The 26,144-nt window shown below is 37.6% G+C and overlaps 1 protein-coding gene and 1 pseudogene across 25 annotated transcripts in view; one reads left to right on the forward strand and one right to left on the reverse strand.

Annotated features, from left to right (window-relative positions):
- The window catches only part of CDC42BPA (CDC42 binding protein kinase alpha), a 328,635-nt gene that overhangs the window by 239,404 nt on the left and 63,087 nt on the right, over window positions 1-26,144 (reverse strand). For 23 of the 25 annotated variants that reach the window (NM_001366011.1, NM_014826.5, XM_047432364.1 and 20 more), the window contains exon 2: window positions 24,803-24,894. The exons of 1 other annotated variant lie outside the window; for it this stretch is intronic. In NM_001366011.1, coding sequence (NP_001352940.1) covers window positions 24,803-24,894 — 92 coding nt within the window. Of the gene's footprint in view, window positions 1-24,802; window positions 24,896-26,144 lie in introns of those variants that run through there. One more of the 25 variants, XM_047432346.1, reaches the window with a different exon arrangement.
- On the forward strand, window positions 4,930-6,093 carry LOC100418874 (cathepsin B pseudogene; annotated as a pseudogene).

Raw genomic sequence — 26,144 nt, forward strand, 5'->3', positions numbered from 1 at the left:
AAAAAAAACTGTTTTACCTCCTTGGTTTCAGCACCCTTGTCAAAAACCAATAGTCCATAAATGTAAAAATTTATTTATGGACTTTCAATTCTTTTCTCTTGATTTATATATGAGCCTTATGCCAGTACCACACAACCTTGATTACCATTGCTTTGTAGTAAGTTTTGAAATCAGGAAGTGTGAGTCCTCCAACTTTGCTCTTTTTCAAAATTGTTTTGGCTATTCTGGAACTCTCAAATTTCTACATAAATTTTAAAATCAGCTTGTCCATTTCTACCAGAAAGGTACCTTGAATTTTTATAGGGATTGCACTGTATCTGTAGATCAATTTGGGTAATACTGCCATCTTAAAAATATTGTCTTCAAATCCATGAATATGCAATGTCTTTTCGTTTGCCTAGGTCTTCTTTTAGCAATATCTTCTGGTTTTTGCCTTCATTTAAAGATACTGCTGCCGGGCATAAAGTCTTAGATTGATGGCTTTTCTTCTTTCAGTAGTTTTAAAATGCCATTTTTCCATTATCTTCAACTTCTATCATTTCTGTTAGAAGTGAACTGTCTTACTGCTTTCTGGAAATTACATGTCCTTTTTCTGCTAGGTATTAACAAATTTTTTATCTTTGGTTTTCAGAAGTTTTACTGATTATGTGTCTGGGTGTAATTTTCATATTTATCCTGTCATGGAGTCTTAAGAACTGATTTGATTGCAACTGAGTTTCTGTCTTACAATGGCAGACTCGTTTCCATTTGTCTTTACACCTAAAGGTGATAGGCCTTCAAGGATCGAAACTGAATACCTAGGATACTTAACAGAGCCCTACTCTTTACTGAAACCTGAACTCCAAGTTATGTTTTTCCTGCCTATGAGATTTCTAGCTGTTCTGCTACTGCCTAGGTAATGGCAACTGCCTGAAAGAGAAAGGTAGGGCTGAATGTTGGGAGTTTACCTCTCTGATTTCATAGTTCTTATACCTTCAAACAGATAAATTTATACTTTAGTCAAGGTTTTCTAGTTGTTTTCAGCAGAACAGCTGGTGTAATATAAGCAAAAGTGTCATAATCAGAATCAGAAGCTCCACATAAATTATTTAATAGTTCAAATTTCTCAAAATATTCCACTGGATTTTGATTGACATTTCATAGAATTTATAGATTAGGGAGAACTGATATCGTTACAAATATGTTGTACTATCTTTGAATAGGGTGTATCTGGTTTTCAAGTCTTTTGAATAATACTGTAACAGAGTTTAAAATTTATTCCATGTAGATCTTATGCATTGTTAGGTTAATTCCCAGATCCTAGAGACATGATTGTTTTTGCTATTGTGAATGACATCTTGTATCATCATCTCTTCTAGTTAATTATTTTGAATACAGAGGAATTCTACTGATTTTTGTAAGATGATCCCTTAACTGAAAATACTCAGTTATCTTATTAACAAAATTTTTATCTATTGCATCTATACATTTTTATGTGTAGGTGGTCTATTAATACTTAAAGATTTATCTCTTCCTGTCCAATCCTGCTAACTGATTTCTATTTCTTTTTTCTTTCTTTCTTTTTTTTTTTTTTTTTTTGAGACAGAGTCTTGCTCTGTTACCAGGCTGGAGTGCAGTGGCGTGGTCTCGGCTCAGTGCAATCTCCGACACCCGGGTTCAAGCGATTCCCCTGCCTCAGCCTCCTGAGTAGCTGGGACTACAGGCACGCACCACCAAGCCTAGCTAATAATTTTTTTTATTATGCTTTAAGTTCTATGGTACATGTGCACAACGTGCAGGTTTGTTACATATGTATACATGTGCCATGTTGATGTGCTGCACCCGTTAACTCGTCATTTACATTAGGTATATCTCCTAATGCTATCCCTCCTCCCTCCCCCCACCCCACGACAGGCCCCAGTGCGTGATGTTCCCCACCCTGTGTCCAAGCGTTCTCGTTGTTTAATTCCCACCTATGAGTGAGAATATGCGGTGTTGTTTTCTGTCCTTGCAATAATTTGCTCAGAATAATGGTTTCCAGCTTCATCCACGTCCCTACAAAGGACATGAACTCATCCTTTTTATGGCTGCATAGTATTCCATGGTGTATACGTGCCACATTTTCTTAATCCAATCTATCATTCATGGACATTTGGGTTGGCTCCAAGTCTTTGCTATTGTGAATAGTGCCACAATAAACATATGTGTGCATGTGTCTTTATAGCAGCATGATTTATAATCCTTTGAGTATATGCCCAGTAATGGGATGGCTGGGTCAAATGGTATTTCTAGTTCTAGATACCTGAGGAATTGCCACACTGTCTTCCACAATGATTGAACTAGTTTACAGTCCCACCAACAGTGTAAAAGCGTTCCTATTTCTCCACATCCTCTCCAGCACCTGTTGTTTCCTGATTTTTTTAATGATTGCCATTCTAACTGGTGTGAGATGGTATCCCATTGTGGTTTTGATTTGCATTTCTCTGATGGCCAGTGATGATGAGCATTTTTTCATGTGTCTGTTGGCTGCATAAATGTCTTCTTTTGAGAAGTGTCTGTTCATATCCTTTGCCCACTTTTTGATGGGGTTGTTTGATTTTTTCTTGTAAATTTGTTTGAGTTCTTTGTAGATTCTGGATATTAGCCCTTTGTCAGATGAGTAGATTGCAAAAATTTTCTCCCATTCTGTAGGCTGCCTTTCACTCTGATGATAGTTTCTTTTGCCATACAGAAGCTCTTTAGTTTAATTAGATCCCATTTGTCAATTTTGGCTTTTGTTGCCATTGCTTTTCGTGTTTTAGTCATGAAGTCCTTGCCCATGCCATGGCCTCAATGGTATTGCCTAGGTTTTCTTCTAGGGTTTTTATGGTTTTAGGTCTAAAATTTAAGTCTTTAATCCATCTTGAATTAATTTTTGTATAAGATGTAAGGAAGGGATCCAGTTTCAGCTTTTTACATATGGCTAGCCGGTTTTCCCAGCACCATTTATTAAATAGGGAATCCTTTCCCCATTTCTTGTTTTTGTCCGGTTTGTCAAAGATCAGATTGTAGATGTGTGGTATTATTTCTAGGGGCTCTATTCTGTTCCATTAGTCTGTATCTCTGTTTTGGTACCAGTACCATGCTGTTTTGGTTACTGTAGCCTTGTGTATAGTTTGAAGTCAGGCAGCGTGATGCCTGCAGCTTTGTCCGTCCAGCTTTGTTCCGTTGCTGGCAAGGAGCTGCGTTCCTTTGGAGGAGAAGAGGTGCTCTGATTTTTAGAATTTTCAGCTCTTCTGCTCTGGTTTCTCCCCATCTTTGTGGTTTTATCTACCTTTGGTCTTTGATGATGGTGATGTACAGATGGGGTTTTGGTGTGGATGTCCTTTCTGTTTGTTAGTCTTCCTTCTAACAGTCAGGACCCTCAGCCGCAGGTCTGTTGGAGTTTGCTGGAGGTCCACTCCAGACCATTTGCCTAGGTATCACCAGCAGAGGCTGCAGAACAGCAAATATTGCAGAACGGCTAATATTGCTGTCTGATCCTTCTTCTGGAAGCTTCGTCTCAGAGGGAAACCCGGCTGTATGAGGTGTCAGTCGGCCCCTACTGGGAGGTGTCTCCCAGTTAGGCTACTCGTGTGTCAGGGACCCACTTGAGGAGGCAGTCTGTCCATTCTCAGATCTCAAACTCCTTGCTGGGAGAAGCACTACTCCCTTCAAAGCTACTCAAGCCTCAGCAATGGCGGACACGCCTCCCCGAGCCTCTCTGCCACCTTGCAGTTCGATCTCAGACTGCTGTGCTAGCAGTGAGCGAGGCTCCATGGGCGTGGGACCCTCCGAGCCAGGTGCGGGATATGATGTCCTGGTGTGCCATGTGCTCAGTTGGAAATGCAGAAATCACCTGTCTTCTGCGTCACTCACGCTGGGAGCTGCAGACTGGAGCTGTTCCTATTCGGCCATCTTAGAACCGCTATTTTTTTATTTTTATTTTTATTTTAGTAGAGATGTTACAGAATTTCACCACGTTGGCCAGGATGGTCTCAATCTCCTGACCTTGTGATCCGCCCACCTTGGCCTCCCAAAGTGCTAGGATTACAGGCATGAGCCACCACGCCCGGCCTCTATTTCTTTTCTTAATGGACTATCTAGGACCTCCAGTAACATATAAAGCTGTAATAGTGTTAACCATCTTTGTCCTGTTCCTGATCTTAGACAGAATGCATCTAAAGTTTCTCCATAAAAGGTTTGCTTTAGGTTATTGGCATAAATCCTTTATCAAGTTAAGGATATTCCCCTTTATTCCTATTTTCTGAGTTCTTGTAACATATACCTATCAAAGTTATGTTTTTCCTTTATTGAAATAATCATGTGATTTTCCTCCCAAGACCCCAACAATTTTTAAATATCCTATTAACCCTTTCAAAGAGCCATTTTGGGCCAGGCACGGTGGCTCACGCCTGTAATCACAGAATTTTGGAGGCTGAGGTGGGCAGATCACCTGAGGTCAGGAGTTTGAGATCAGCCTGGTCAACATGGTGAAACCCCATCTCTACTAAAAATACAAAAATTAGCCAGGCGTGGTGGCGGACCCCTGTAATCCCAGCTACTCAGGAGGCTGAGGCAGGAGAATCACTTGAACCTAGGAGGTGGAAGTTGCAGTTAGCCGAGATCACACTGCTGCACTCCTGCCTGGGTGACAGGACGAGACTCTGTCTCAATTTTAAATAAATAAATACATAAATAAGCTAGAAAAGAATGTGTAGTCTCTGCAGCATGTAGAATTCTCTATTTATCTTTTAGGTTCAGCAAGATAACATGTCCTTAAAATATTTTTTTATGTTGTTCAAGTGGCAACAGTGGTGGAGGTGGGTTCCAGGAACCAGGTATTAGGACTGGACATGGCATCTTCAGGCTCAGGGTATCTGCGGTTTCAGTAAATCCAGGATCCAGAGCCCAAAGAGTGGGTCTGGCCACCTTTTCTGCCTTACGGTGCTGACTAATACCCCAATTTCACACCCTGCAGATAAACTGTTGAGTCTCCATAATGCCAACATGAGCTATGCAAATTAACTAGTGGAAACTTTCCTGGATAGATCCAAGCTGCCTCAGAGAGTACAGTTTGTTAAGAAAATGGGTCTGCCCAAAAAATGCTGATCCAGGAACAGTGGCCAAAATGTCTAACAATTAAAAAGACATCATCAACAGAGTTCATGTAGCTCTTCCTGAACATCTGGGGCCATGAAAACCATTTCTGACCAGGTGTACATTTAGACCAATAAGAACACCAATGTGGAGATGTCTGCTGAAAACTGCTCATCTATTGTGCAGTGTGGAGATGGCTGTATGTAGGCTTTCCTTCTCAAACCTAGAATTTCTGAACCAAGAAAAGCCTGTTCTCTCTCAGGTAGCCTCTATGACTCCCACGTAGCCTGAAGACCCTATTCTATCCACCACGTGAGCACCATTTCAATATGGCTCTCAGCTCCCATGTGACGGAGGCAGACAGACATTCCCAAGTTCAAAATTTGTAAGCCTCACTACACGCCTTCCTACAAAGATGACAAGCACTACAGCAATGGTTATCACAGCAGGCTTGCCCAACCCGTGGCCCACAGGCCGCATGTGGCCCAGAACGGCTTTGAATATGACCCAACACAAATACGTAAACTTTCTTAAAACAGTATGAGATTTTGTGATTTTTTTTTTTTTTTAGCTCATTAGCTATCGTTAGTGTTAGTGTATTTTATCTGTGGCCCAAGACAATTCTTTTTCCAATGTGGCCCAAGGAAGCCAAAAGATTGGACACCTCTGTTTTACAGTAAACCTTCAAGTGTAGAGATCATGGCTGATATTTACAAGAATGGTCCAGCAGATGGAGCCTTCTCTGTGTATGCTGATTTCCAGCAATCAAAGTCTGAAGGGTCCAACATGACACCAAAGAAATGAGGAGAACCTACACCATCTGCAGCCTGGTCTGGGAGAATGAAGACTGCCACCCCCTACTGGCTGACTGTCAATTCCTAGAAAACTGACTAGGGTGACAATGCCTTCTTCGAATTCTCTCAGAAAAAGGCCACTATGGAATCAAATCAGAAATCCTGGTTAGAAATCTCACACACTGATCAGTACTAGAAAAAGTTTTAGTATGTAGTCTGTCCAGCCAGTCCTGCAAAAGTTTTTTCTTAAATATGGCGAGTTGAGTATTTTTTTAAATATGGCAAGTTGAATATAGCAAGTGGGGATGGGTGAGAAGTCCTTTTATTCTTTTAGTTCAGATATAATTCAAGAGTTTAGACAATGGCTAATGTGCTTCAGGGCCTGAAGAACTGGACTAAACCAAACTTTTGTGTATACTATTTGAATTATGTTTTGGGGGTTAGATAGAGTTCCCTAACAAAGGAAATAACTCCAAACCTGGCTACCTCTCAGCCTCCTTGAGGGCTGATTTTCACCGCTGACAAGGCAAAGTGAACCCTTTTAATTTCCTAATAAGGACTTTCACACAGACTAGCATTCTACGCAATGCTTGCTGCTCCAACTCCTACTCCAACCAACCTCCCAACCAGAGCATCTCCAGAGAGTAAAACTCTGTGAGAACCTAAATGGTTTGATTTCAGGTTTTCCAAAAGAATTGCTAGTGGAATTCCTAACAAGGAGGATTTAAATTCCCATATATAATCAGTATCTCTTGGCAAGTACTTTCTTTCTAGATTTGGAATAAGTTAACAGGAGAGATGGTAAGTAGCTTTTTAAATGAAGAAAGCCACTTTCTCCTGGGGTCCCTGAATCAGCTGAGTCTTCCTGTGTTGTATATATATCCTCTCTGTTCTTTTCTGTAGCATAATTCTTTTAATAGAAGCTTTATTTTCTATGTACCTCAGGTGATTCTGTGAATGAACATTTCTAACACTTGTTAGAGCTGCAACTCTGCTAGTTGCAGACTATATATCCCAACAGACTAGCCTAAAACAAAACTGGGTGGTCCCTACTGGATATAGATTTGACTGAATGACAGACTGACCTCTAATCCCTTGGGGAAACTAATTTGGGAGAAACCAGCTTTTGCTGTTTTTAAAAATCACTACTTTACCAATCATCTTAACGTGGAATTGGAATAACTGTGCCATTAAAAGTTTCTCCCTTCAAAAAAAACAAATACCTCTATGTCTTGATTTTTTATCTGCTTATCAATTTATGATATAGGAATATTAAAAGTGCTAATCTTAAACTATTCAAAGTTTTTGTATTTCCTCATACAAGTTCCATCTATCAAGTGTTAGTGTATATATTTTAAAAATAATTTGTAAGACATATGTTCCATAATTATTAAACCTTTTTAAATTATCTTATACCATTTATAATTGATCATAACATACCTACATACAACTACAAAACAAATTATGTTTATACAATGATAAAGTGAACAATATATAACTAAAACTCAGATCAAGAAATAGAACATGCAATAACACAGAACCCTGCCCCTACAGCCCTACCCGATCACAACCCCCACCTTTCCAATGGAGTTAACCATGATCCCGACTTTTGTGACAGAGGCATATCATATAAGGCCGGGCACAGTGGCTCATGCCTGTAATCCCAGCACTTTGGGAGACCGAGGTGTGAGACGAGCCTGGGCAACATGGCAAAACTCCACCTCTACAAAAAATACAAAAGTTAGCCAGTTGTGGTGACACATGCCTGTGGTACCAGCTACTCAGGAAGCTGAGGTATGAGGATCAACTGAGCTCAAGAGGTCGAGGCTACAGTGAGCTGTAATTGTGCCACTGCACTCCAGCCTCGATGACAGAATGAGACCCGGTCTCCACAAAAAAAAAAAAAAAAAAAAAGCGTCTCATATGTATTCTTTCCTATGTTGCTTCATGTCAGGTTTTAGAATCAAGGTCATTCTAGTCTCATAAAATGACTTGGGCAATGGTCCTTCTTCTTCTATTATCTGGGGAAGTTTAAGTTTAGAATTACTTCTTCCTTAAATGATTCATGGAACTTGCATGAATTCAGCTCAATCTGGAAAAGTTATTACATGGTATCTTAAAATGAGTAATACATTTACATGCTTTAAAAAATCAGAACAAAAATAAAAAGGCTCCCACTTATAAGTGTCACTCCCACTCCTGTCTACCCCATTCCCTCGACTACCTATTATTGTTACTGTATAAAAATACAAGTGTAAACAATATTTCTACCTACCTCTGTTTAACAAAAAAAAGACACACTTAAATACTATTCTGCATCTTATTTTATTCACTTTACAATACATTCTGGAGATCGCGCTACATAGGTACAGTGAACTTTCTTGACTGCAGCTACACGGTATTCTATTCTATCACTATACCAATAGTTTATTCAACCGGTTGCCTAATGTCAGATATTTGGGTTGTGTTTCTCTTATTTTTTACACTTGAATTTTGATCCATCTGTGGTTTGTCCTGGAATATGTAAGAGTTTTAACTTGTTCCACAAATGGACTTTTCCAAATGGTTATCCAGTTGTCTCAGGACCATTTATTAAAAGTTTTATTGGCCAGGCGCGGGGGCTCATGCCTGTAATCCCAGCACTTTGGGAGGCCGAGGCGGGCGGATCACCTGAGGTCGGAGTTAGAGACCAGCCTGACCAACATGGAGAAACCCTGTCTCTACTAAGAATACAAAATTAGCCAGGCGTGGTGGTGCATGCCTGTAATCCCAACTACTCGGGAGGCTAAGACAGGAGAATTGCTTGAACCCAGGGGTGGAGGTTGCAGTGGGCTGAGATCGTGCCATTGCACTCTAGCCTGGGAAAGAAGAGCAAAACTCTGTCTCAAAAAAAAAAAAAAAAAAAAAGTTTTATTTCTAGCGGAATACAGTGGCTCATGTCTGTAATCCCAACACTTTGGGAGGCATAGGCAGGAGGATCACTTGAGGCCAGGAGTTCAAGACCAGCCTGGGCAACAAAGTGAGACCCCCATCTCTATTTTTTTTTTTAATTTTTAATTAGCCGGACATGGTGGGGCACACCTGTAGTCCCAGCTACTTATGAGGCTGAGTGGGAAGATAGCTTGAGCCCAGGAGTTTGAGGCTACAGTGAGCTATGATGGCACCACTACACTGGCGAGACCCTGTCTCATTAAAAAAACAAACAAACAAACAAACACGACATCTAAACCAGGTTTCAGCAAACCATGGCCTGAAGGTCAAATCTGGTCCATTACCTGTTTTTAAAAATAAAATTTTATTTGAATACAACCACATCCATCATTCATTTGCAAACTGTCTATGGCTAGTTTTCACACCACAATGACAGAGAAGAGTAGTTGCCACAGAGAACATATGAACTGTGAAATCTAAAATATTTACTGTCACTTTACAGAAAAAGTTTGTTGACCCACAGTCTAAACAGTCCACTTAAAATACAGATTATCAGAATATGTAAAAAATATAAAACCTAACTATATGAAAAAGGTTAATATCATAAGAAAGCTGGCTATACTGAGGCAAATCAGACTATGACAACGAGTACTACCTTGAAGGGAAACATTGCATGATTAAAGGCTCAGTGTATAAGAAAGATGAACAATTGGAACATGTATGCACCAATTAAGTTTCAAAATGCATAAAATAAAAAGAGAGGAAACTACAGGGAAATACAGACATACCCACAATTATATTTGAAAACTTTAAAACCCTCTTCTCAGCACTGACAGAACTAAACAAAAATTAGGAAATTATGGAAGAGCTTAATGACTGCATCAACCGTCTAGAGCTAACTGATGTATAAAACACAACAAACAATAAATGTAGAAAAAACATTCTTTTCAAGTGTACATGGAATGTTCAATGCACACAGTGTATCTAGACAATGTAATATTATTCAGCACTAAAAAGAAAAGAGCTATCAAGCCATTTAAAGATGTAGAGGAACCATAAATTCATATTACTGAGAAAAGCCAATCTGAACAGGCTACATACTGTATCATTCTAACTATTCTGGAAAAGGCAAAAGTATGGAGATTATAAAAAAAGACCAGTGGTGGCCAGGGGTCAGTGGTGAGGGAGAAATGAATAAACAGACAGAGCACAGAAGATTTCTAGGGCAGTGGAAACTACTCTGTTTGATACTACAATGGCAGATACATAACATACATTTGTCAAAACCCACTGAACGTACAACATCAGGAGTGAACCCTAAGGTAAACTACAGACTTTGGGTAATAATAATATGTCAATGTAGTTTCCTGGATTGTAACAAATGTACCATTCTGGTTCAGTGTTTTGGGAGATGAAGATTGGGTAAGTGTGGGAACAGGAGGTATACGGGAACTCTGTATTTTCTGCTCAATTTTGCTGTGAACTTAAAACTGCTCTAAAATATAAAGTCTATTAAAAAATTAATCAAAGTAATCCACTATGTCAACTAACTGAAAGAAAAAATCCATATAATGATTTCAATAGATACAGAAAAAGCATATGACAGAATTCAGCACCTATCAATAACTATATTTTTTAAATGCTCAGCAAACTATTATAGTAACAGAAGACAATATCTTCAATCAGATAAAAGGCACCTACCAAAATATTGCCTAACAATAATTTCACCATACTTAACAGTAAAACACTGAATTCTTCCTCCCTCAGTTCAGGAATAAGGTAAGGATGTCCACCCTTGTGACACCATTTCAACACTGTATTAGAGGTCCGAGCTAGTGCAGTAAGTCAAGACAAAGAAATAGAAAGTCTACAAAGTAAAAAGGATGCGTCCCTATTCTGAAAATCCTATTATCAGACAGCAGGACTGCTTACACAGAAAAACTAAGAAACCAGGGACCAAAATAACAACAAAACTACTAAAAAATAAATGACTTTAGTAGGTAGGAAATAAAGTCTGATACAAAAATCAACTATATTATCTACATATTAGCAGCATAGTGTTTGAATGTAAAAATTTTAAAGATATCATTTATCAGAGTCAAAAAACTTAAATACTTAGGAATAAATTTAAGAAAATATGAAGAAGACCTATACATTAAAACTATAAAACATCCTTGAGAAAATTAAGTTAGACCTTCAAAAAACAAAGAGAAATATCTGCTTCAGAGACTAACAGACTCAACATTATTAAGATATTGGTCCTCCCAAAATTTATCTATGTACTCAGTGCATACTCAATTACATCAGTAGGCTTTTATAAAAATTGATATATTGATTCTAAAATGCAAAAGTCTTCGAATAATTAAAACAATCTTGAAAAAGAACAAAGTAGGACTCCATACACTCAGAGTTCATTACACAATCTCAACATTAGTATAAAGCTATAGGAATCAAGACTGTGGTATTAGCATAAAGGCAGACAATGAGATAAAGAGAATAGAGAGGACAGCAATAGAGCACATGGTCTTTTTACTAAGGTGCTAAAATGACTTAATAAAGGGAAAACAGCCTTTTCAACAAATGGTGCTGAAACAACTGGCTACAAATACAAAAAAAAAAATGAATCTCAATGCCGATATCACATCAGACATGAATTTGAGATGGATCACCAATCTAAATATAGTAGCTAAAAATAGAAGGCTTTTAGAAAAAAAAAACATAGATATCTTTGTGATCTGAGTATAAACAAGGATTTCTTAGAACACAGAAAATACTAACTGTAATAGAAAACAATTGATAAAATTATACCTTCAAAATTGAAAACTTCTGCTCTAAACGATAATTTTTTTAAAAAATGAACAAACCACACAGTCTGAGAAAATATTGCTAAAACATCTGACAAAGAACTCCTACAGCTCAACAATAAAAATACAAACATTTCAATTTCTAAAGACTGAGCAAAAAATTTGAACATATACCTCACAAAGGAAGATATAAAAATGGTTAATAGGCACACAAAAACCCCATGATTATGCTGATATATAACACAAATGCAAACAACAATGAAAATTAAGACCACAGAATACCACTACATACCCACTAGAATGGCTAAAATTAATATTAACAACAAAAAATATTAGGCAAGAACAGGGCATAAGTAGGAATATAAAAATGGTACAATCCAACTGGAAGTAGTATGCCAGTTTCTTTTAAATTTAAACATGCAACTACTGCCTAGCATAGCAGTTCCACTTCTGGTTATTTACCCAAAGAAAACAAAAACATATTTCCATAAAAACCTGTAGGAGAATATTCATATCAGCTTTATTTCTAATAGCCAAAAAATTGGAAACAAATGTTCATCAATAGGAAAATGAATAAACTGTGGAACATTGATAAAATGGTATACTGCTCAGTAATAAAAACGATTAATACATGCAATTGCAAGGATGAGTCTTGGACATTATCCTGAGTGAAAGGTGGACACAAAAGAGTACATACTGTATAATTCCATTTATATGAAATTTTCAAACAGTCAAAATTAATCTACAGTTAAAACTCAGAACAGCGGTTGCCATTTGATGGAAGCTGTGGGGAACCAACGAGGAAGAAAACTTCCCAGGGTGACAGAAATATTCTGTATCTTGATAAGGGTGATCCATTTTCCAAAACCTCAAGGAACTGTATATATACAATTAGGGTATTTCAATGTATGTAAAATTTTCCTCAGAAGATCTAAACAAACAACAAAAAGATTTTGTGCTCCTTGTTCATATGGCTTCACCAGTGAGGTCTTCTTGGCATTATTAAAAAGAAATAACACCAATCTTACACAAATGCTTTCAGAGAATTGAGAAAAAACACTTTCCAAATTGTCTTATGAGCTTAAATAATATCGTTCCAAAATGTAAGATTATAAAATAGACAAAGGCCAATCTGTCTCATGCACATAAACAAAAAAATTATAAACAAAATATCAGCAAATCAAACCCAACTATATATTAAAAGGCCAACTGAATTTCTATAGTACTGTAATATTGGTATATTTGAAAATTATAATATCAATATTAGCCAAATATCATAGTAAAATCATATCAAAACAGATATAGATGGAGCTTTTGATAAAAGTTAGCTCCTATTAATGATAAAAGCTATCTACAGACTAGGGCAAGAAGGAAAAAGAGTAATCATTTTTTTGAAAAGTAGTAGTAGCAAACTTCTTAATCATTAGTAAAATGCTGAACACTTTCTCCTGATTCACAAACCAGACAAGGATGATGCCCACTTTCAGCACTTAAATTCAACATTTTATTAAAGATCTTCTCTATTACAATAATAGAGGAAAAAGAAATAAAAGGAATAAATATTGGGAAGAACAAATGCTATCATTAATTGAAGATCAAGATGAACATATAGAGAATTCAAAAAATTTATGTACAAACTAGAAGAAGTTAATATAATCAAGTTCCTTAAATAAAAGATTAATATTTTTAAAGCCAATTGTATTTCTACCACAGCAAGAAAATAAAAAATAGAATTCTAAAACTATCCTTTACTAGCTTACTAAAAAACATCAGACTCAAAAAAATTAAATAAAAAAAGAATTGGATTGGGGCAGATAAAAAAAAGAAATCAGACCCATAAATTTAGTGAAACATGAACAAGACATCTACATTGAAAAATATTCCTCAAAGAACAAAAACAGAAACACCATTTGACCCAACAATCCCATTACTTGGGTATATACCCAAAGGAATATAAATTGTTCTCTTATAAAGACACAAGCACACATACATTCACTGCAGCACTATTCACAATAGCAAAGACATGGAATCAACCTAAATGCCCAGAATGGTAGACTAGATTTTTAAATGTGGTACATATACACCATGGAATGCTATGCAGCCACAGAAAAAAAATGAGATCATGTCCTTTGCAGGGACATGGATGGAGCCGGAGGCCATTATGCTCTGCAAACTAACACAGGAACAGAAAACCAAATACCCCATGTTCTCACTTGTAAGTGGGAGCTAAATGATGAGTACACATGGACACATAGAAGGGAACAACACACACTGGGACCTGTCAGAGGACAGAGGGTGGGAGGAGGGAGAGGATCAGGAAAAAATAACTGATGGGTACTGAGCTTAATAGGGCGATGAAATAATCTGTACAACAAATGCCCATGACACAAGTTTACTTATTTAACAAACCTGCAAGTGTACCCCTGACCTTAAGAACTGTTTTTAAAAAAGACTTCTACATTGAAAACTGTTTTTAAAAAATTAATAAGTGGCACACATAGGGGCCCAACTTAAAAGTTTCTTTGCAATTAAATGTGAAAAAGGTAGTCTTTAAAACAAACAATAATCAGAAACCACAAAGAATAAAGTGAACTTTGACCTATACCTCAGAAAACACAAAACAGTCAATACCAGAGAGATGAGACATCTAAATGTGAAAGGTTTGTCTTGAAAGATCAAAGAAAGAATTTATTTTAATTATTGGAAAATATGTTCATGACCTTGAGGTTAGAAAAAAACTTCTTAAAAACACAAAAATCACTAATTATAAGTAAAAGTTTAATTAATTGCACTCCATTAACATTAAGAATTTCTGTTCAATACAAGATCTTTGGAGAGAGGGAAATGCCAAGCCACGGAAAAGATTTGTCACACACACACACACACACACACACACACACACACACGTGTGCACATCTCCAACAACAGATTTGAATCTAGAATATGACGATAAGTCAGACAACTCACCCATGCAACTCCTACTTACCCAACCCCAAAATGTGTACTTCATGGAAAGGATATCTAAGTGATGTGAGGTGATATGAAAATGTGTTCAAATGTAGGCGCTATCAAGAAATGCGAAATGAAATAACACAATACGGCCACTCACTCACCAAAAAAAAACTAAAGTAAAAAAAAAAAAAGACCCATGTTAGCGAGGTTATAAAGCAACTGGGACCTTTATACACTGTTGACGGGAATATAAATCATTAACCACTTGGGAAGTTATTTGGCATTATCTGCTAAAGCTAAATAAGCCTACCCTGTGACCCAGCAATTCTAAATTTGTATCAAACACAAATAAGTGCTCATAGCTCCCAAAAGATATGCACAAAAATGTTTCTAACAGCATTATTCATAATGGCCAAAAACCATAAACAACTTGAACACCATTAATAAATAACTTGTGACATATTCATATTAAGAAAAATACTGTGAACCAGTGAAAAACAAGAATGAATTACAAAAGTGTACTGTTGAGCACAAGAAGCCAGAAACCAGAGTATATATTACATAATTCCATTAACATAAAACTCAAAAACAAGCAAAAAAAATCTATGGTGATAGAAGTCAGAATAGTTAACAAGGAAGTGATTATTCACATGGTGGGGGGGGGCAATGGGAGCCTATCAGAATGCTAGAAATGTACTATATCTTGATCTGCTTGATGGTTTATACAAACTCATACAAATGTAAAAATCTGGCTATGGCCAGGGGTGAAGCAAGGTAGCAGAATAGAAGCCTACACCATTCAAGCTCTCCCACACCATGCTGGAACAGCAAATTTTAAAAACTATCTGCAAAGAGAAAAGCACTCTCACAAGAACCAAAACTCAGGTAAGCAATCACAGTACCTGGTTTTAACTTCATATCTTGAAAAAAAGGCATTGAGGAAGACAGGAGAGACAGTCTTGAATCATGGATGCCACCCCTATTTCCTATTCCCTGGCAATGGCCATGAGGTAGAGAGAGAGAATATACTTCAGGGAGGGAAAGCGCAGAGACTCAGTGCTGCCCTGTCACAGCAGAGAATGAAGCCCTGCTGGGCTCAGCCAGTGGCCATGCTTGGAGGGGCATTTGACTAGCTCTAGCCAAAGGGGAGTCACCCATCCCAGCAAGTCAGAACGAGTTTCCCAGCAAGCATCACCACTGCAGGCTGAAGTGCTCTGGGGTCCTAGGTAAACCTGAATGGCAGTCAAGTTGGGTTCTAACAAGGACTCCAATTCCTAGGCAACTCCTAGTGCTTAGAGCCAGTGAACTAGGGTTGCTCATGACCTAGGGAGGCATCAGCTGTCCATCCCCCAACCCAGGCAGTGCAGCTCACAGGAACCAGACTGACTCCTTCCTTCTGCTTAAGAACAGAAGAGCAAAGAGTAAAGAGGACTTTGTCTTGCATCTTTTTTTTTTTTTTTTTTTTTTTGAGACGGAGTCTCACTTTGTCGCCTGGGCTGGAGTACAGTGGTGCCATCTCAGCTCACTGCCAACCTCTGCCTCCCAAGTTCAAGCAATTCTCCTGTCTCAGCCTCCCGAGTAGCTGGGACCACAGGCACGTGCCACCTCACCCAGCTAATTTTTGTATTTGTAGTAGAGACAGGGTTTCACCATGTTGGCCAGGCTGGTCTCAAACTCCTGACCTCAGGTGATCTGCCCACCTTGGCCTCCCAAAGTGCTGAGATTACAGGCGTAAGCCACCATGCCCAGCCCCGACATTGTCTTGCATCTTGGATACTAGCTCAGCCACACTAGAACAGAGCACCAGGCAGAGCCATGAGGCCCCCATTCCAGGCCCTAGCTCCCCAATGATATTTCTAGACACACTCTGGGCCAAAAGGGAACCGGCTGCCTTGAAGAGAAGGATCCAGTCCTGGCAGGACTCATCACCTGCTGACTAAAGAGTTCTTGGGCAATGAATTGCCACTGGGCACCAGCAATACCCAGGGAGTATGCTGTGGGCCTTGAGGTCTGAGACTACTTGCTTCAAAGGAGACCCAGCACATTCCCAGTTGTGGTGGCCACTGTGAAAGACTCCTTCTGTCTGAGAAAAGCAGAGGGAAAAGTAAAGGGAACTTTGTCTTGCTTTCAGGTATCACAGTGGGACAGAACAAAAGGCAGGCTTTTCAGATCCCCAAGTCCAGCCTCTTGGACACCATTTCTGGACCGGCTCTGGGCCAGAGGGGGGCCCACTGCCTGAAGGGTGAGTCCGAGGCCTGGCAGCACTCACCACAAGCTGATGAAAGAGCTCTTGGGCTTTAAGTGAACACTGGTGGTGTGGCCTGGCAGAACTGCTCATGGAACAGTCATGGTGCTGGCCACAGAGAGACGCTCCTCCTCTGCATGTGGAAAGGGGAGAGAAGAGCGGGAAGAACTTTTTGTATTGTGGTTTGAATGCCAGCACAGACGTAGTAAAAATAAAACATCAGGTAGATTGCTAAGGTTTTTAACTAGAATCGCAGGCTACCAGACAGCATCTCTGGACACACCCGGGGCCTGGGGAAACTCACCACCCTGAAGGGAAGGGCCTTGGGCAAGGCCCAGTGCTGTGCTGGCTTCAGGTCTGACCCAGCACAGTCCCAGTGATGGTGGCCACAGGGGTGCTTGTATCACCAAATCCCCAGAGTTCCAGGTGGCTCGATACAGAAAGAAAGACCCAATATGTTTGGAAGAAAGTAAAGTAAAAGAATAAGAGTTTTTGCCTGGTAATCCAGAGAAAACTTTTGGATCTTATCCAAGACCACCAAGACAATACCTATATAAGACTGCAAAAACCACTGTGTTATTGGCCTTTGAACCCAAGTCCCTTCAAATACCTGGAATGCTTTCCCAAGAAAGACAGGTACAAACAAGCCCAGACTGCAAAGTCTACAATAAATACCTAACTCTTCAATGTCCAGACACCGAAAACATCTAAAAGCATCAACACTATCCAAAAAACCTGACCTCACCAAATGAACTAAATAAGGCACTGGGGATCAATCCTAGAGAAACAGAGACACATGACATTTCAGACACAGAATTCAAAATAGCTATTTTGGGCCAAGCACGGTGGCTCACACCTGTAATCCCAGCACCATGGGAGGCCGAGGTGGGTGGATTACTTGAGGTCAGGAGCTCGAGACCAGCCTGGCCAACATGGTGAAACCCCATCTCTACTAAAAATATAAAAATTAGCCAGGGGTGGTGGTGGGTGCCTGTAATCCCAGCTACTCAGCAGGCTGACATGGAAGAATCACAGAACCTGGGAGGCAGAGGTTGCAGTGAGCCAAGATCGTGTCACTGCACTCTAGCCTGGGCAACAGAGCGAGACTTTGTCTCAAAAAAAAGCTATTTTGGCCAGGTGCAGTGGCTCATGCCTGTAATCCCAGCACTTTGGGAGGCCAAGCAGGCAGATCACTTGAGGTCAAAGACCAGCCTGGCCAACATGGTGAAACCCTATCTCTATTTTTAAAAAAATACAAAAATTAGCCAGGCATGATGGTGCACGCCTGTAATCCCAGCTACTCAGAAGGTTGAGGCAAGAGAATGGCTTGAACTTAGGAGGCGGAGGTTGCAGTGAGCTGAGATCGTGCCACTGCACTCTAGCCTGGGTGACAGAGTGACAGTCCATCTTAAAAAACAATAGCTACTTTGAGGAAACTCAAAGAAATTCAAGATAACACAGAGAAGGAATTTGGGATTCTATAAGATAAATTTCACAGATTAAAATAATTAAAAACGGGGCCAGGCGTAGTGGCTCATGCCTGTAATCCCAACACTTTGGGAGGCCAAGGCAGGCGGATCATCTGACGTCAGGAGTTCGAGACCAGCCTGGCCAACACTGTAAAACCCCATCTCTATTAAAAATACAAAAATTAGCCAGGCGTGGTATGCACCTGTAGTCCCAGCTACTCAGGAGGCTGAAGCAGGAGAATCGCTTGAACCTGTGAGATGGAGGCTGCAGTGAGCCGAGATCACACCACTGCACTCCAACCTGGGTGACAGAGTGTGACTCCATCTCAAAATAAATAAATAAACAAACAATAATTTTTAAAAATCAAGCAGAAATTCTAGAGTTGAAAAACTCAACTGACATGTTAAAGAATGTATCAGAGTCTCTTAATAGCAGAACTGATCAAGCAGAAGCAAGAATTAGTGAGCTTGAAAATGGTCTATTTGAAAATACACAGAGGTGACAAAAGAATGAAAAAGAATGAAGCATGTATAAGATCTAGGAAACAACCTCAAAGGGTAAATCTAAGAGTTATTGACCTTAAAGAGAAGGTAGAGAAAATAAGAGTAGAAAGTTTATTAAAGGGATAATAAGAACTTTCCAAATCTAGAGAAAGATATCAATATTCAAGTACAGCATAGTTCTTTAAGTATTAGCTAGAGCAATTAAACAAGAGAAAGAATGAAAGGTGTCCAAATTGGAAAGAAAAAAGTCAAATTATCCTTGTTTGAAGATGATATGGTCTTATATTTTGGAAAACCTAAAGACTCCACACACACACACAAAAAAACTTATTCAAACTGATGAACAAATTCAGTAAAGTTGCAGGATACAAAATCAACATACAAAAATCAGTAGCATTTCTCTATGCCAACAGTGAACAATCTGAAAAAGAAATGAAAAAAGTAATCCCATTTACAATAGCCACAAATAAAATTAAATACCTAGGATTTAAATCAGCCAAAGAAGTAAAAGATGTCTACAGTGAAAACTACAGAACACAAATGCTATGGTCAAATGGCATAAGAATAAAATGCTATTATTTATTTGTCCCCTACAAAAAAATGTAAAAATTCATCAAGTTATCTATGTGTATTTTTTAATTGAAGTATATAAACATACATGTGAGGTATGCACACACACACACATACATCAATATACTGATGAAACACTGATGAAAGAAACTGAAGAGGACACAAAAAACTGAAAAAATATTCAATGTACATGGGTTAGAAGAATCAATACTGTTAAAATATCCATATTGCCCAAAGCAATCTACAGATTCAATGCAATCCCTGTCAAAGTATTAATGACATTCTTTCACAGAAATAGAAAAAATAATCCTAAAATTTATATGGAATTACAAAAGACCCAGAATAGCCAAAGCTATCCCAAGCAAAAAGAACAAAACTGGAAGAATCATATTACCTGACTTCAAATGATACTACAGAGCTACAGTAACCAAACTAGCATGGTACTGACATAAAAACAGACACATAGATTAATGAAACAGAATAAAGAACCCAGAAGGAAATCCACATACATACAGGGAACTAATTTTCAACAACGGTGCCAAGAATGTTAGGGAAAAGACAGTCTCTTCAATAAATGGTGCTGGGAAAACTGGATAACCATATGCAGAAGAAGGAAATTTGATCCCTATCTCTCACCTTACATAAAAAACAAATCAAAATGGATTAAAGATTTAAGTCTAATACCTCAAAGTATAAAACTACTAAAAGAAAACATTGGTGAAAATCTCCAGGACACTGGTCTGCACAAAAATTTCTTAAAACACAGCCAACCAAAGCAAAAATGGACAAATAAGATGACACGAAATTAAAAAGCTTCTGCACAGCAAAGGAAACAATCAACCCACAGTGAAGAGACAGAATCAAACCACAGTGAAGAGACAACCCACAGAATGGGAGGAAATATTTGCAAACTACTCATCTGACAAGGGATTAATAACCAGAATATACAAGGAATTCAAACAACTCTATAGGAAACAATCTGATAATCCAATTTTTAAAATGGGCTAAAGATTTGAATAGACCTTTCTATAAAAAAGACATACGAATGGCAAACAGGCATATGAAAAAAGTGGTCAACATCACTGATCATCAGAGAAATGCAAATCAAAACTACAATGAGGTATCATCTCACCCCAGTTAAAATGACTTTTATCCATAAGGCAGGCAATAACAAATGCTGGTGAGGATGTGGAGAAAAAGGAGATGGGGATGATTAATGAGTACAAAAAAAACAGAATGACGAAGACCTAGTATTTGGTAGCACAAGAGGGGGACTGTAGTCAATAATAATTTAATTGTCCATTCTGAAATAACTAAAAGAGTACAACTGGATTTTTTGTAACACAAAGGACCAATAATAATTTAGTTGTCCATTTTGAAATAACTAAGAGTACAACTGGATTTTCTGTAACACAAAGGATAAATGCTTGAATGTCCATTTTGAAATAACGTGGATATCCAATTTTCCATGATGCAATTATTAAGCATTGCATGCCTGTACCAAAATATCTCACGTACTCCATAAATATATAAACCTACTATGTACCCACAAAAATTAAAAAAAATAATAATAATAAGGCCAGGCATGGTGGCTCACACCTGTTAATCCCAGCACTTTGGGAGGCCAAGATGGGTGCATCACCTGAGGTCAGGAGTTCGAGACCAGCCTGACCAACATGGTGAAACCACATGTCTACTAAAAATACAAAAACTAGCCAGGCATGGTAGTGGGCACTTGTAATCCCAGCTACTCGGGAAGCTGAGGCAGGAGAATCACTTGAACCCGGGTGGCAGTGGTTGCAGTGAGCCAAGATTGCACCACTGCACTCCAGCCTGGGCGACAAGAGCAAAACTCCATCTCAAATAAAAAAATAAAAAATAAAAAAAGAATGCTATGGTCAAATGGCATAACAATAAAATGCTATTGCTTGTTTTGTACCCTAAAAAAATGTAAAAATCCATCGAGTTATATGTGTGTATATTTTTTGAAACTGAAGTGTGTGTGTGTGTGTATGTGTGTGTGTGTATACCATAATATACTTCAATTTTTTTTAATTTTAGGACCTCAAAAAATATATTTTCAGACAAATAAAATCAGATAATTTGTTATCAGCAGACTTACACTGAAGAAATACTAAAGAGGGCCAGGCACAGTGCCTCACAACTGTAATCCCAGCACTTTGGGAGGCTGAGGCAGGAGGACTCCTTGAGCCTTGGAGTTTGAGACCAGCCTAGGCAACGTAGGAAAACCCCGTCACTACAAGAAAATTTACAAATTAGCCAAGCATGCTGGTGCACAGCTATAGTCTTAGCTACCCAGGATGCTGAGGCAGGAGGATCACTTGGGCCCAGGAATTCAAGGCTGCAGTGAGCTATGATCACACCACTGCACTGCAGCCAGAGAGACAAAGCAAAACTTTGTCTCTAAATATTAAAAAGAACTATTAAAGGGAATTTTTAAGTCAAAAGGAAAATGATCCCAAAGGGAAGTACATGAATGTGAAGAGCAGAGAAAATACAAATATGTGGGTAAACCTAAATAAATAGGTACAATATATATGTTGGGGTTTCAAATATAAATGGAACTAAAATATATGACAGCAATGAAAAAAAAAAGGTAGAAATTGGGTAAATGGGAATTGGCAAAATATAAATTTACCAAGGATACATGTGGTAATTGCCAGGGGAACACATAAAAGAAGATAAAATTGGGAGGTATGATTTAAAATATTCCATTAATCGAAGAAGAAGCAAGAAATGAGAGAAAAACAACACAAAATGAGCAAAACAAATATAAAACAAGTAGTAACATCATTACATGTTAACTGATTAAAAAACAAAATCTAATTATATTCTACTGAACAGTAAACATACCATATGCTTATAGAAAGCTAAAACGAAAAGGACAGAATAAGATATTTAATGAAAATACTAATAAAAAAGAGCTGGAGTAGTTCCACTAATATCAGATTAAGGAAAATTTAAATCAAAAAACACTATAGAGATCATGGGAACACTCCATAATAGCGAATGAGTTAATCACCAGGAAGATATAATAACTGTACATTTGTTATCAGCAAAAACTGAAAGAAATAAAGAAATCCTCCCTCAGGAAATGACAGTAAGGATATGGAAGATTTAAACAAGATTTTGAACTTGACCTAACTGATATTTACAGAACACTGCAGAGCAAATTTCAAAGGATTCTAATCACATAGAGTATGCGTTCTAACCACTTTTAAATTACATTATAACTCAATAAGAAAAACTAGAAAATTTTCTAAATGTTTAGAAATTTTTTTAATGAACTTTAAATTCATAGATCAAAAACAAAAATTTAAAATCACACTGTATTTTAAGCAAAAAATATATACATATATATGACATACCAAAATATGTCTGCTATAGCTAAAAATGCTTAGAGGAAAACATATAGCCTTAAACACAGGTTTGAAAAGAAGGGCTAGATATCAATGCTATTTTGAAAAATCAGAAAAAGAATAGCAAGATAAAACCAAAGAAAATATTATAAAGTGCAGAAATTAAAGAACCAGAAAACAAATCTACAATAACAAAATTCAAAAGGCCAAAAGTTAATTCATGGAAAAGATAATAAACTGATAAACCCCTAGCAAGAAAAATAAAAAGAGAGAGAAATGATCAATACAGTAACAAGTTTTAAAAATTAGATGAAATGGATAAACCTAGCAAAACTAATACATACACAGAACAAGTCATTTTATTTCCATTAAAGAAATTAAACATTATTTAAAACTTTTTCACTAGCAACCTCTGGTCTCAGAGGCTTCACCAGTTAAATCTTGTAAGCATATCAGGAAAAAAATAATAACAATCTTCACTAACTCTTCTGGAGAATACTAAAGGAGGGAACATTTCCCTCTTCTTGTAAGACCAGTATAACCAAGATACCAAAATCTGATCAGAACATTCGAAGTAGGAAAATTACAGGCCAATTTATCTGAAGAACACAGGTGCAAAGATCCTATCAACACACAAAAAGCACATGAAGTCCGTTGGTACATATAAAGGGGGTAACATATCACAAGTCAGTTGGGCTTATTTTAGGAATGCAAAGATTGTTTAACATCTGAAAATATAACAGCATAATTCAACACATTAACAAAGTAAAGGAGAAAAACCATGAGTGTCCCAAAAGATGCAGATAAAGTATTAATAAAATTCAACAAAATTCCTATTTGAAAAGTATAACAAGGTATAAGATCAATAAAATTAAATTCTACTTCTAACTACTACCAAGAAAACAATTAAGAAATGAAATTTCACAAACAATTCTAATTAAAATAATATCAAGACTATCACATATCCAGGAATAAATCTGCTGAAAGATGTGGAGGTCTTCTATACTGAATGAACACTACAAAACGGTATTGAGATAAATTTATAAAGCCCTAAATAAATGGAAGAATATACCACGTCTATGGATTAGGTGACTCAGTAGTATTGTTAAAATGCCAATTGTCTGCAAACTGATCTCCAGTTTCAATACAAACTTTACCCAAATTCCTGGAAAAAAGAGAGAGAGAGAGGAGACAAGAGAAGAGAGAGGAGAGAGAGAGGAGGGAGAGAGAGAAAGAGAGCGAGAGAGAGAGCGAGAGAGAGCGCGCGCGCGTGCGCGTGCATGTGTATCTTTACAAGTGAGTCGAAATTGAAAAACTGATTCTAAAATACTATGAAAATATCCTTTAGGAGGACAAGGTGGGCAGATCACTTGAGGTCAGGAATTTGAGACCCGCCTGACCAACACGGCAAAAACCCAACTTGACTAAAAATACAAAAATTAGCTGGGCCTGATGGCGGACGCCTGTAATCCCAGCTACTCGGGAGGCTGAAGCAGGAGAATCACTTGAATCCGGGAGGTGGAGGTTGTAGTGAGCCAAGATCATGCCACTGCGCTCCAGCCTGGGCAACAGAGGGAAACTCCATCTCAAAAATAAATAAATACATACATACATACATACATACATACATACATACATACATTCATACATAAAATAAAATACTATGAAAATATCAGGGGAGGAGAGATGGGAGAGGGGGAGAAAAAGGAAGTCAGAGTATATACACTACCAGGTATCAAGATTCCTTATAAACTAGAATAAGACAGACCAACAGAACAAAAGAAGAGTCTAGAAACACACTCATATTTACATTGACATATGAAGTACATGTGAAAACATGATCTTAGAAAAAATTCCCAGTAGAAATATTTCATTCAACACTTTATTTTCTGAGCTATTATATCAATCACAACAGCACAATCAATCACATCAATCACAACTTAACAAATATTGTTTAACAAGTAACAAGTAACAATACTTGTTAAATTCTCTCACAATTGTGTTCAACAGCTTCCAAAATAATTAGCAGACCTTCTATCAAATCTTAATCTCTTACCTCCCCAAAAGCTCCTCGACCAATCACCTTTAATATTTCAAAGTCTTCTCTATGTAATCGCATTTGTTTCACTTTAGAAGTAAATGGTTTAGCTGAAATGAAAGAGCAATATCAATTATTTTCTTAATAAAATGTGATGCAAATTAGATATAAATAATGGTGTTTCTTAGTTACACAAAAATTCAAATTATGATTTAAGAATTGTCAAAATATTTAAAAATCCCAAACTATATGAGAATAAACAGATTTAATTTCCCTAAGAAAACAATATATTTTCTTTTATTTCTTACATATGAATTACATTTTTGGTGAGAAATGTATGTTTAAACTCCAAATAACATATAAAAGAATGCAAAGCAAGGGGGATGTAAAAATGAGACCAGTTTTAACATTCTATCAGCATTAAATATATATTTTAACACAAAGATATAAAAAATAAAAGCAGATTTCATGGCACCAGAGAGCTCTTCAGCAATTCCCACCAAGTAAACTCATGTTTCTTTCACGCTCATTCATTTGTTCCTTTAAAATGCGTTAGCAAACGTCTACAGTATACAAAGCATGGTGGCAATGACTGGAGTTTTTAAAAATTTGATTATGATATGATACTTTCCTTCAAGAAACTCTTAGTCTTCATTCAAGAAAGACAAGTATGCATATATGCAGACACAAAATTTAATAATGTGATAAAGTTTTAAGTGCTTCAGAATTAGTGAGAATAGAACACTAATTATGTGGATACTAATGCTTCACACAAAGGAGATAACAGATAAATTGAACCTTGAGGACTAAATAGAATCTTGCTGCTTTGCCTGGGTTTGACAATGTAGATATTCCAGGCAAGAGGGAACAATATAAGCAAATGAAGAGAGGCGAGGAAGTGAATTTGGGGTGTTAATGGTAAATAATCCATGGTAAAGAATTGTGAGAAGAAATGCAAAGAAATAAGAGCTAGAAAATGGAAAAGGCTTTGAATTTCATTAAAGGAATTTAGATGTAATCTTATTAATAATTTTAACTGGTAAATTAAAAATGTTTAATGATTAGAGCAATTACATATTCTGCTGCCTCTAAGAGAAGTTTAAACGTGTCTCCTTTCCTCTCCTCAGGTCCCTCTTTATTCTAACACAAAAAGGAACTGATATGATTAAAGGATCATAATACATGGGTGTAGCTGTCTTCTCTCTTCCTTCCATGGAGCCAGAGTGTGATAAGATCAAAGATACATATTTGAGCATTAGGGGAGTGAAACAGATAGGTCATACAGTTTGCTCTGATCTAAAAGTATGCATTTAGCTCTAACTAGCTTCGAAAACGGGTATTCCACACTGCTTAGTCAAGT

This window comes from Homo sapiens, chromosome 1 (assembly GCF_000001405.40).
Source record: "Homo sapiens chromosome 1, GRCh38.p14 Primary Assembly".
Taxonomy (NCBI): Eukaryota; Metazoa; Chordata; class Mammalia; order Primates; family Hominidae; genus Homo; species Homo sapiens.